Consider the following 13127-nt stretch of genomic DNA (forward strand, 5'->3'; position numbering starts at 1 on the left):
GCTCACTGCACCTCCACCTCCCGGATTCAAGCAGTTCTCCTGTCTGAGCCTCCCGAGTAGCTGGGACTACAGGCACATGTCATCACGCCCAGCTAATTTTTGCATTTTCAGTAGACATGGGGTTTCACATATTGGTCAGGCTGGTCTCGAACTCCTGACCTCAGGTGATTCACCTGCCTTCCTCGGCCTCCCAAAGTGCTAGGATTACAGGCTTGAGCCACTGTGCCCGGCCTGATTTTTACATTTTTAAGAGGTTATAAAAATCAAGAAAATGAGAAGATAAGCCTCAGACTGGGAAAAAATACTTGCAGAAGACATATCTATTAAAGGACTGTTATCCAGAATATACAAAGAGCTCTTAAAACTCAACAATAAAAAAGCAAAAACAACCCAATTAAAAATATGGGCCAGCCAGGCATGGTGGCTCACACCTGTAATCCCAGCTGTGAGGCTGAAGTGAGATGATTGCTTGAGGCCAGGAGTTGGAGACAAGCCTGCACAATACAGGGAGCACCCATCTTTAAATTTTTTTTTTTTTGAGACAGAGTTTCTCTCTTGTTGCCCAGGCTGGAGTGCAGTGGTGCGACATCTGCTCACCCCAACAACCTCTGCCTCCCAGGTTCAAGCGATTCTCCTGCCTCAGCCTCCCGAGTAGCTGGGATTACAGGCATGTGCCACCATGCCCAGTTAATTTTGTGTTTTTAGTAGAGACAGGGTTTCTCCATGTTGGTCAGGCTGGCCTTGAACTCCCAATCTCAGGTGATCCACTCACTTTGGCCTCCCAAAGTGCTGGGATTACAGGTGTGAGCCACCGTGCCCGGCCTAAATTTTTTTTTTTTTTTTTTGAGACGGAATCTCGCTCTGTCATCCAGGCTGGAGTGCAGTGGCACCATCTCGGCTCACTGCAAGCTCCGCCTCCTGGTTTCACGCCATTCTCCTGCCTCAGCCTCCCGAGTAGCTGGGACTGCAGGCGCCCACCACCACACCGCTACTTTTTTGTATTTTTAGTAGAGACGGGGTTTCACCATGTTAGCCAGGATGGTCTCGATCTCCTGACTTCGTGATCCACCCGCCTCGGCCTCCCAAAGTGCTGGGATTACAGGCATGAGCCACCGCGCCTGGCCCAAAAATTGTTTTTAAATTAGCTGGGCGTAATGACATGCATGCTTGTAGTCCCAGCTACTTGAGAGGCTGAGGTGGGAGGATTGCTGGGGCTCAGGAGTTCTAGGCTGCAGTGAGCCATGATTGCACCACTGTGCTCCAGCCTGGGCAATGGAGAGAGTCCCAGGGTCTTTAAAAAAAAAAAAAAAAAAAAAAAGGACACAAGGCCTAAATAGACACCTTACCAGAGAAGATAAACAGATGACAAGTAAGCATATGAAAAGATGTTCAGCATCATAAGTCATTAGGAAATTGCAAATTAAAACAATTGATTTAAACAGATTTACCAAGCCCTGGACTGTATCACAGTGGAACTAAAAGATAAGGTGTTCAGTCTCTTTTGATTACCATGCCCAGTTCTCTCATTCTCCTGGGCACTTGTATCTAATGGTAAAGCTGTTCTTAATGAGTTTCTTTTTCATTTGCAGGTATATGAATGACCTAAAGGTACAAATAAAGACGGAGAGAGAACAGTGCCAACTGGGAGCAGGGCAAGAATGCCAATTCCTCCTCCCCCGCCACCCCCACCTGGTCCTCCTCCACCTCCCACATTTCATCAGGTAGGTAGTCCTTCCATTAGGCTATCTCAAAACCTTTGAGTAAATAGGTTGATGGTCCTCACATACTTTTTTTTTCTTTTAACTCCTTTTGGTTAAAATTTCTAGATTTTCCTACTAGTAGCATTCCTATTCTTTAATTCTGTTTTTAACATTCCAGATTGTTATTCCTAGTATTAAAGGATACTTAGGGCTTCCTTGTACAAGACATAGTGTATAATCAATGACATGTGGTATAGGAAGGTGGAGAATAAACAAGTCCATCTTTTTCAGCTGGTTCTGATTCCTGAGAGGTCCTCTTAGGATCATAATGGCATGTCTGGTTTCCTTGTCCTGGTTCACTCTAAATGGAGATTTGGACAGGTGGCGTTGGAGTTGGAGCTAGTGTTTTCCCCTAAAACTATTTGCTGTATAAAAGTTAGTATGTTGTTTCTTTGGCATTTTTGAGAAAAGTGGTGAGGATTCCTTTTTTTTTTTGAAACGGAATCTCACTCTGTCGCCCAGGCTGGAGTGCAGTGGCACGGTCTCGGCTCACTGCAACCTCTGCCTCCTGGGTTCAAGCGATTCTTCTGCCTCAGCCTCCCAAGTAGCTGGGATTACAGGCACGCGCCACCACGCCTGGCTAAGTTTTATATTTTTAGTAGAGATGGGGTTTCACCATGTTGGCCAGGCTGGTCTTGAACTCCTGACCTTGTGATCCTCCTGCCTTGGCCTCCCAAAGTGCCGGGATTACAGGTGTGAGCCACCGCGCCCGGCTTGAGGATTCTTAGTGGTTGTTTCTTGCTACCACTTCATCATCTCTTCTATTCAAAATCAGTTCATTTTAAAGCCAAGTCCATCAAGTTGAACACCTTATCAAGAAGGAAAGGAGTTTTTGGAATGTATTGGTTCGAAGACTGAAAGATTCAATAATAGGAAAAAAAGCAATGTGATTTTTGAACCAAGCAGGAAGCTACTTTAGCCATACCTAGATTGTGATACCTGGTGTCACATGAGAAGGAAGGAACCTGAGGCCAGGCGCGATGGCTCACGCCTGTAATCCCAACACTTTGGGAGGCTGAGGTGGGTGGATTGCTTGAGGCCAGGTGTGGTGACAAGCGCCTGTAATACCAGCCACTCAGGAGGCTGAAGCGGGAGAATTGCTTGAACCCAGGAAGCGGAGGTTGCAGTGAGCTGAGATCATGCCGCACTCCAGCCTGGGCGACAGAGCGAGGCTCCATCTCAAAAAAAAAAAAAAAAAAGGAAAGGAGGAAAGGAACCTGTATGCATTCTATTTTTGTAAAATTTGGAAGTAAAAGTGACTTCAGAGAAGAATAGGCCATGGGTGTGTGTATGTGTGCACGCATAGGTGTGTATGTGTGCTTATATGTGTATGTTAAGTGTTTAACAGTTGAGAAATTGTACCCCGAAGAGGAAAAGTGACTTGCCTATCTAATTTGTTTCTGAACTAGGACTAGAGTTCAGGTCTACCCACTTCTGTTTGTTTTCATAACCTGTAGTTTTTAGACATTTTGTTTTAGGAGTATGTATGAACTGCCTTTTAGATGAAGTTTTGTGTGGAAGCCCAATAAATGAAGGAGATAAAAGCAGAGCTTGGCCGGGCACGAGTGGCTCACGCCTGGAATCCCAGCACTTTGGGAGGCCGAGGCGGGCGGATCACCTGAGGTCGGGCGTTTGAGACCAGCCTGGCCAACATGGTGAAACCCCATCTCTACTATAAATACAAAAATTAGCTGGGTGTGGTAGTTGAGCGCCAGTAATCCCAGCTGCTTGGGAGGCCAAGGCAGGTGAATCGCTTGAACCCCAGAGGCAGAGATTGCACCCAGCACTTTGGGAGGCCGAGGCGGGCAGATCACGAGGTCAGGAGATTGAGACCATCCTGGCCAACATGGTGAAACCCCATCTCTATTAAAAATACAAAAATTAGCTGTGCATGGTGGCGCTTGCCTGTAATCCCAGCTACTCGAGAGGCTGAGGCAGGAGAATCGCTTGAACCAGGGAGTCAGGGTTGCAGTGAGCCGAGATCGCGCCACTGCACTCCAGCCTGGATGACAGAGCGAGACTCTGTCTCAAAAAAATAAAGCAGAGCTTGTATGGTGATGTTGGGGGTAGAAAGAGGAGGCAGTCAATGAAGGCTTTTAGGTAGGTGGTGATACTTGAGCTGAGTCTTAAGCCATGAGTAGAGTTTAGCCAGAAAGAGAGGAGGGAGGGAGGGCACTTGAAGTTGAGGAAGTAGAATGTGGAAAGATACTGATTTGGTATTAATTAATTAATTAATGAGACAGAGTCTCACTCTGTTACCCAGGCTGGAGTGCAGTGGTTGTGATCATAACTCACTGCAGCCTCTAATTCCTGGGCTCAAGTGATCCGCTTGCTTCAGCCTCCTAAGTAGAGGGGACTACATGTGCATGACACTGCATATAGCTAATATAAAAAAAAATTTTTTAGGCCGGGTGCAGTGGCTCACACCTGTAATCCCAGCACTTGAAACTCTGTCTCAAAAAAAAAAAAAAAAAAAAAAAGATAAGTTTTTTTTTTTTGTAAAGGCAGAGTCTCACTTTGTTGCCTAGACTAGTCTTGAACTCCTGGCTTCAAGTGATCCTTTTGCCTGGGCCTCCCAAAGTGCTGGGATTACAGGTGTGAGCCACTGTGCCGGCCGGCCTCGTGCTGATTTTTAGGAAAGCATATAGAGGTTTAGATTATTGCTTGAGGGGATGTGGTAGCAGATGCAGCTGGAGATGTAAGCTGAGGGTTTAGATTTTTCTTCTGGCGATCATGAGGAGTTCTTGAAATATTTCCCAGCTACTGGGGGCGCTGAGGCAGGAGAATGGTGGGAACCCAGGAGGTGGAGCTTGCAGTGAGCCGAGATCGCACCACTGTGCTCCAGCCTGGATGGTAGAATCTAAGACTCTGTCTTAAAAAAAAAAAAAAGCAAAAAGCAAAAAAAGCAATCAGAGGGTGGAAAAGGCCTGGGGCTTTGAGGCAATCAGAGCATTCACATCTTGGCTGTTTGTTTATTAATGATGTGACGTTAACTGTCCTAAACCTTTGTTTTCTCATCTTTGGAATGGGAATAATATAGTTTACTGTATAACTTTATTTAGAGGTTAAATTGAAGTAATAGGGAGACAGTAGGGTATGTTAGTTGAGATAGGATATGAGTTTTTAGTGTCACTGTTGGAGTTTGGACTCTTGTTTTATTGTTTACTAGTTGCATGACCTTAGATAGCTATTCAGCTTCTGGCCCACCCTTTCCAAATGGCGACAATGATAATAATACCTTTCTCATGGGAAGGTTTAGAGATTTAAATGAGCTAAGGCAAATATTGTGCTTACCACAGTGCCTAAGTCATAGTAGGGACTCACTAAATGTTTGCCTTGATGGTGATGATACGCATTAAATGTCTAACATACATAGTGTCTTAACATGCAGACTAGCACAAAGATAACTAAGTATTACTGCAGGCCTCCCATCAGAAGCTTCTGAATAAGAAGGAAATGGAGTTCCTTCACAGAAGATAGAACAGGAGGGGAAAAACTGAGAAGGATAATGCACATTGATATTGCTCTTTGGCATGTATATCTAATGAGGTTAGATAGACATCTCATGGAATCCAGTTTGCTTTAAGTCATTTATCCCAAGCTTGTGATAAAGGGAACTTTTTTTTTTTTTTTTTTTTTTTTTGCAGGCACATTCTCGCCCTGTTGCCCAGGCTGCAGTGCAGTGGTGTGATCTCGGCTCACTGCAACCTCCACCTCCTGGGTTCAAGCGATTCTCCTGTCTCAGCCTCCTGAGTAGCTGGGATACAGCATGTGCCACCATGCCTAGCTAAGTTTTTGTATTTTTAGTAGAGATGGGGTTTCACCATGTTGGCCAGGATGGTCTGGAACTCCTGACTTCAAGTGATCCACCTGCCTTGGCCTCCCAAAGTGTTGGGATTACAGGCGTGAGCCACCGCACCCGGCCGATAAAGGGAACTCTTTAGGGTGAACTTATATTTCTCTTATCCTCCAGGCAAACACAGAGCAGCCCAAGCTGAGTAGAGATGAGCAGCGGGGTCGAGGCGCCCTCTTACAGGACATTTGCAAAGGGACCAAGCTGAAGAAGGTGACCAACATTAATGATCGGAGTGCTCCCATCCTCGAGAGTGAGTCCGAGCTTCATTTCCTAGTGAACTGGCAGGATCCCAGGAGTGACTTGGAGACTTGGCTGGGTTCTTATTTTTATTGGGCCTTGAGTGGGAGAGTTTTGTCCTGGGATGTGCTTTGGCTCTCTTCTTATTCATTCTTCTGAACCTTAGAAGTTTCTTCTTGACTCTTGGAGAGCATCTCAGGATTAAGGTTACCATCTCACCGGGCATGGTGGCTCATGCCTGTAAGCCCAGCACTTTGGGAGGTCAAGGTGGAAAGATTGCATGAGCCTAGAAGTTCAAGGCTGCAGTGAGCTGTGATCATGTCACTGCGCCACTGCACTCCAGCCTGGGCAACAGAGCAAGACCCTGTCTCTCAAAAAGGTAAAAAAAAAAAAAAAAAAAAAGGCTGCCATCTCTTACTGTAACTAATGCTCATCAGGGTACATCCTTGACTGTCCTTTGAGGACACTGTCACATTCCTGGAAACCTCTTGACTGAAACCAAGGTTGATTTTATGATTGCTACAAGTGTCCATTCCTGTAGGCCTCTGGAGAGTGCTCACGTATTGGTCCCTGATTCTTTAGCCTTCTATCTGTCATCTGAGATGTGGAGAGAAGAGCCCAGATAACTATGTTGAACATTTCTTTTTTTTTTTTTAAAGACTGAGTTTTGCTCTTGTTGCCCAGGCTGGAGTGCAGTGGCACGGTTTCAGCTCACTTACTGCAACCTCCGCCTCCCAGGTTCAGGTGGTTCTTATGCCTCAGCCTGCCAAGTAGTTGGGATTATAGGCACGTGCCACCACGCCTGGCTAATTTTTTGTATTTTTAGTAGAGACGGGGTTTCACCATGTTGGCCAGGCTGGTCTTGACCTCCTGACCTCAGGTGATCCACCTGCTCAGCCTCTCAAAGTGCTGGGATTACAGGCATGAGCCACTGTGCCTGGCCCCCCAAACATTTATTTAACCCCCTTATCCCTTTGCCCTGAATAAAGGAAGATCGGCCACTTGTTGTTGTTGTTTTTTTTTTTTGGTTTTTTTTGTTTTTTTTTTTTGGAGACAGAATCTCACTCTGTCACCCAGGCTGGAGTGCAGTGGCGCGATCTTGGCTCACTGCAAGCTCCACCTTCTGGGTTCATGCCATTCTCCTGCCTCAGCCTCCCGAGTAGCTGGGACTACAGGCACCTGCCACCGCACCCGGCTAATTTTTTGTATTTTTAGTAGAGATGGGGTTTCACTGTGGTCTCCATCTCCTGACCTCATGATCCGCCCGCCTCCGCCTCCGCCTCCCAAAGTGCTGGGATTACAGGCGTGAGCCACCACGCCTGGCTTCACTCGTTCTTTCTCTTTCATCACAACAGAGTTTCATCCCTACACAAAGCTGTGGAGCAGAGAGGCCTAGCTTTCCTTTCTTTTCTTTTCTTTTCTCTTTTTTTTTTTTTTTTTGAAACAGGGTCTTGCTCTGTCTGTTGCTCAGGCTGGAGTGCAGTGGTACGATCACAGTTCACTGCAGCCTCGACCTCCCAGGCTCAATCGAGCCTCCCATCTCAGCCTCCCGAGTAGCTGGGACTATATAGGCATGCATCACCATGCCTGGGTAATTTTTGAAATTTTTTGTAGAGTCAGGTCCTACTATATTGCCTAGGCTGCTCTCGAACTCCTGAGCTTAAGTGATCCTCCCATCTTGGCCTCCCAAAATGCTGGGATTAGCAGCATGAGCCACTGTACCAGGCCTGCTTTTTTAAATAGAAGGGCAAAAACAAGACTGGTTTGTTTGCAAGCGATAGCCCAGATAGAGGAGTGGTTTCCCCTCATGATTTACTTGGTCACCAGCTGAGAGCATGTGAAATGAAAACCCTACTGGTATGCTTTCCAGAGCCGAAAGGAAGCAGTGGTGGCTATGGCTCTGGAGGAGCTGCCCTGCAGCCCAAGGGAGGTCTCTTCCAAGGAGGAGTGCTGAAGCTTCGACCTGTGGGAGCCAAGGATGGTTCAGGTATCTGATGAGTACTTTCCCAGGGTATTTCCCTGGTGTGTTAATTTCTGATGTCCCAAGTGGGCCATCTCAGGTTGAGGAGTATGGTAGAGGTGGGGGGAAGAAAGACTTGGGAGTAGGGGAGGAGTTATAGAATAGAATACAGCAAAAGCTGAGGGATTAAATGAAAGTGGATGCAACTTGGATAAAGAAAATGTGGCATATATACCCTAGAATACTATTCAGCCTTAGGCAAGAAGGAAACTTCTGTCATTTCTGATAATATGGATGAACTTGGAGGACATTATACTAAGTGAAATAAGCCAGGCACAAAAACACAAATACTGCATGATCTCATTTATATGTGGGATCTGAAACAGTTGAACTCACTCGTAGAAGTAGAGAGTGAAATGTTGGTTACTAGAGGCTGGGGGCAGTAGGCGTTGGGATTGGGAAAGGGGAGATGTTGGTCAAAGGGTACAAAGTTTCAGTTAGACAGGAGGGGTAAGTTTTAGTGATCTATTGCAGCAGTCCCCAGTTTTTTTGGCACCAGGGACTGGTTTCATGGAAGACAATTTTTCCATAGATGGTGGGCGGGGGATGGTTTCAGGATGAAACTGTTCCACCTTAGATCATCAGGCATTAGTTAGAGTCTCATAAGGGGCATGCAACCTAGATCCCTCACATGCACGGTTCACAATGGGGTTCGCCCTCCTATGAGAATCTAATGCTGCTGCTGGTCTGACAGTAGGCGTTGCTCAGGCAGTAATGCTTGCTCGCTCACCTTCTGTGTGCCCTGTTCCTAACAGGCCACTGACCTGTACAGGTGCATGGCCCCAGGGGTTGGCGACCCCTTATTATACTTAATGTATATTTCAAAATTGCTAAAAGAGTATATTTTATTTTATTTTATTTTATTTATTCGTCCCCCCCCCCCCCGCAAATGGAGTCTTGCTCTGTCGCCCAGGCTGGAGTGCAGTGGTGCCATCTTGGCTCACTGCAACTTCCGCCTCCTGGGTTCAAGCCATTCTCCTGCCTCAGCCTCCCAAGTAGCTGGGATTACAGGCACAGGCCACCACACCTGGCTAATTTTTGTAGTTTTAGTAGAGACGGGGTTTCACCATGTTGGCCAGGCTGGTCTCAAACTTCTGACCTCAAGTGATCTGTCCACCTTGGCCTCCCAAAGTGCTGGGATTACAGGCATGAGCCACTGCGCCTGTTGTAGAGTAGATTTTAAGTGTTTTCACCATTAAAAAAAATATGTGAGGTGATGGATATGTTAGTTTGATTTAATCATTCCACAACGTATACATATAACGAGACATTGTACCCCATAAATACATAAAATTATTACTTGTCAAAAATAAAGTAACATTTAAAATAAATAACAGTGTATCCTGAGCCTGAAACCGTATTAAAACCCAGAACTAGGCCGGACGTGGTGGCTCACGCCTGTAATCCCATCACTTTGGGAAGCCGAGGTGGGCAGATCACCTGAGGTTGGGATTTCGAGACCAGCCTGTCCAACGTGGTGAAACCCCATCTCTACTAAAAATACAAAAATCAGCCAGGTGTGGTGGCGCACACCTGTAATCCCAGCTACTCGGGAGGCTGAGGCAGGAGAATCACTTGAACCCAGAGGTTGCAGTGAGCTGAGATTGCACCATTGCACTCCAGCCTAGGCAACAACAGCGAAACTTCGTCTCAAAAAAAAAAAAAAAAAAAAAAAAAAAGAAAAACAAAAAACCCAGAATTATTCAATTCCTTTCCCTGCTGCCATGCAGGTTGCACTAAGGAGCCGAGTGAAGTAGGGATACTGACCAATATCTGTCCAGCTCTGTTGACCCTGTGTTGTCTATGTATTTGTAGAGAACCTAGCTGGTAAGCCAGCCCTGCAAATCCCCAGTTCTCGAGCTGCTGCCCCAAGGCCTCCAGTATCTGCCGCCAGCGGGCGTCCTCAGGATGATACAGACAGCAGCCGGGCCTCACTCCCAGAACTGCCCCGGATGCAGAGACCCTCTTTACCGGACCTCTCTCGGCCTAATACCACCAGCAGTACGGGCATGAAGCACAGCTCCTCTGCCCCTCCCCCACCACCCCCAGGGCGGCGTGCCAACGCACCCCCCACACCTCTGCCTATGCACAGCAGCAAAGCCCCCGCCTACAACAGAGAGAAACCCTTGCCACCGACGCCTGGACAAAGGCTTCACCCTGGTCGAGAGGGACCTCCTGCTCCACCCCCAGTCAAACCACCTCCTTCCCCTGTGAATATCAGAACAGGACCAAGTGGCCAGTCTCTGGCTCCTCCTCCTCCGCCTTACCGCCAGCCTCCTGGGGTCCCCAATGGACCCTCTAGCCCCACTAATGAGTCAGCCCCTGAGCTGCCACAGAGACACAATTCTTTGCATAGGAAGACACCAGGGCCTGTCAGAGGCCTAGCACCTCCTCCACCCACCTCGGCCTCCCCATCTTTACTGAGTAATAGGCCACCTCCCCCAGCCCGAGACCCTCCCAGTCGGGGAGCAGGTAAGTGCTTGGAAGCACCTTTTTCCCTATCATGCTGTGAGTTGATTTTATCTTTCCCCAGAGCACTCCTTGAAGACAGTAATTCGTTTATTCACTCAGTGGGTTTATTGAGTACCTTTTTATGTGTCAGGTCTGTTGGTAGGGAAATAGCAATAAATAGAAAAGACAAAAAAATTTGACAGTCAAACTAGTAAAATATATAAATACATAGTATGCAGTATGCTTTAGAGAATTACAAAGCAGAGGAGAGGAATAAGATATACTGGGGCGGAGGTCGGGATGATGATATCTTTAATTGGAGGAGTGGGGAGAGAGTCAGGACAGTCCTTACTGATACGGTGAAAATTTGACAAAGACCTTAAGAAAGTGACGAGTAAGCTTAGTAGTTATCTAGGAGAACAGCTGTTGCAGGCAGTGGGAACAACAAATGCAGAGGCCATAAGGCAGAAGTATTCTTGAAACATTTTGGGGACAGCAAGGGGGCCATTGTGGCAAGACTACAAAGAGTGAGGGGAGGGAAGAGTGGTAGGACTTGGAGGTTGGAAAGCTGGAGCTGCAGGGGAGAGCGCACTGCAGGATTTTGCAAAGACCTTGGATTTAACTGTGTGAGATGGGAAGCCACTGGAGGGTTTTAAACAGAGAAGTAGTATGATTTGATTCACCTTTTAAAAAGATCATTAACTCCTATGTTGAGAACAGACCGCAGGAGGACAAAGGTGACAAAAGGAGACCAGTTACTGGGCTGTTGCAGTAAACGGCCAGATGGTTAGGACTACTGTGAATTTGTGGGAAGATAGGTGTTCAGTTTGAGACAAGTTTGAGATGCCTGTTAGGTAATCAAGAAGAGACAATGAATTGGTAATTGGCTATCAGACTCCAAAGTTGAGGGGAGAGGTTTCGGCTAGAGAGATACATTTGAATGGTGTTGAAAACCACATGCTGGATGAAGTCACCTAAGGAGTGAATATAGATAAGAAGAGGCCTAGGAGGCTGAGGCAGGAGAATCGCTTGAACTCAGGAGGCAGAGGTTGCAGTGAGCCGAGATCACGCCACTGCACTCCAGCCTGGGCGACAGAGTGACAGTCCATCTCAAAAAAAAAAAAAAAAAAAATGAGGGCTGAGCCCTCGCCCTCCTACATTAGAGGCAAAAGAGATGAAGAATACCCAGCAGAGGAAACAGAAAAGCTTCTAGTGAGGATGGAAGGAGAAAAACCAAGAATGTGATGGAAAAACTCCAAGGTAGAGTAAGTGGTCAGCTGTGCCCAGTGCTGCAGATGGGTCAGGTAAGTTAAAGACCAAGAACTGGCATTGGTCTTAGTATCATGGGACCCTTTTGAGTAGTTTCAGTGGAGTGGTGGAGGGTGAAAGTGAAAGCTTAATTGGAGTGGGTTCAAGAATGCAGGAATAGGAGGAGAGAAATTGGAGATAGCAATATAGAAATCTCTTAAAGAGTTCGCTGTAAAGTCCAGGAGAGAGGGGTGAAGATAAGTGAAGTGATTGTTGGACGAAGATGTGGGGTTGAGAGTTGTTTTTTTCCCATCCCAAGATGGGAGACCTATTTGTATGCTGATGGAATGAGTAGCATGAAACTTAGGAGAGAGGGAAAAAATTGAATCAGAAGAGAGGGAACAGATTGCCTGAATAATGACCTGGAGGAGGCCAGAGAAAAGAGAATGTGATCGATAGATAAAAAGGGTTGGCCTTAGATAGGAACATAGTTCTTCCATAGTAACAAGAGGGGAGGCAGAGCATATAGGCTTAGAAGCAAGTGGGTAGGTGGGTGTAGTGGTAGAAGCATGTGGAAAGTTTATTCTAATTTGCTTCTGTTTTCTCAGTGAAATGGAAAGCAAGAGCATCAGCTGTGATTGAGGCGAGGGAAGGAGAAGGAGAGTTGAGGAGAGAGAAGAGGCATGAAATGGTCATCTGGAGCGTGGGAGTGTGGGTGGACTAGGGAAGTGTGCTCAGATAGGCAACCACGCGAAGGGCCCACTTGAGATTATGGGCCATACATTTCATGTGAGATTAATTAGTCTCATGTGTTCAGTTGTGATTTGCAGGTACAGAAAAAGAGTAGAGCTGTGTTTAACCAGCGTTAGCATGTTTTAGGCATGTGCGACTCTAAGGGAGAGTGGGGCAGGAAGGGAAGGGTGTATGTGAGGGAGTGATTGCAATAATGGAGCCTAAGCTGGGTGAGGAGGGAATTTAGGAACCCTGGAAAAAGAAGAGGTTGTGTAATCTCGTTATAATTAGCATAACTGAAATTTTAGAGTGAGGGAGACCGTGACAGCTCTCTGGGGCCTTATTGGACATGGGAATTTTGGCTCCCATATCGTTGTATCATTAGACTTTGAGACATACCCTCCACAAACAGCTTCTTGGCCTTTATTTATTTATTTGTTTGTTTGTGTTTTGAGACAGAGCCTTGCTCTTTCGCCCAGGCTGGAGTGCAGTGGTGCAATCTCTGCTCATTGCAACCTCTTCCTCCCAGGTTCAAGTGATTGTTGTGTCTCAGCCTCCTGACTAGCTGGAATTACAGGCATGTGCCACCATATCTGGCTAATTTTTGTATTTTTAGTAGAAACGGGTTTTCGCCGTGTTGGCCAGGCTGGTCTCAAACTCCTGACCTCAAGTGAGCCACTGCGCCCAGCCCTTAGCTTTTATTTTAAAGTCAGTTTCTACAGGTATAGAACATTGATTAAGGAGTTATGTCATGGAGTCTGGGCATGATGGCTCACGCCTTAATCCCAGCACTTTGGAAGGTTGAGGCCAGCAGATCATTTAA

At 46.6% G+C, this 13127-nt stretch overlaps 1 protein-coding gene across 9 annotated transcripts in view; it reads left to right on the forward strand.

Moving 5' to 3' along the window:
- Positions 1–13127, forward strand: part of WIPF2 (WAS/WASL interacting protein family member 2) — a 64833-nt gene that overhangs the window by 35498 nt on the left and 16208 nt on the right. For 5 of the 9 annotated variants that reach the window (XM_005257083.3, NM_133264.5, XM_005257084.3 and 2 more), the window contains exons 2-5: positions 1590–1721; positions 5734–5866; positions 7724–7840; positions 9689–10345. In XM_005257083.3, coding sequence (XP_005257140.1) covers positions 1659–1721; positions 5734–5866; positions 7724–7840; positions 9689–10345 — 970 coding nt within the window. In that variant the 5' untranslated portion in view covers positions 1590–1658. The remainder of the gene's footprint in view (positions 1–1589; positions 1722–5733; positions 5867–7723; positions 7841–9688; positions 10346–13127) is intronic. The other 4 variants (XM_047435499.1, XM_011524412.1, XM_047435498.1 and 1 more) reach the window with 2 other exon arrangements.

This window comes from Homo sapiens, chromosome 17 (assembly GCF_000001405.40).
Source record: "Homo sapiens chromosome 17, GRCh38.p14 Primary Assembly".
NCBI classification, from domain to species: domain Eukaryota; kingdom Metazoa; phylum Chordata; class Mammalia; order Primates; family Hominidae; genus Homo; species Homo sapiens.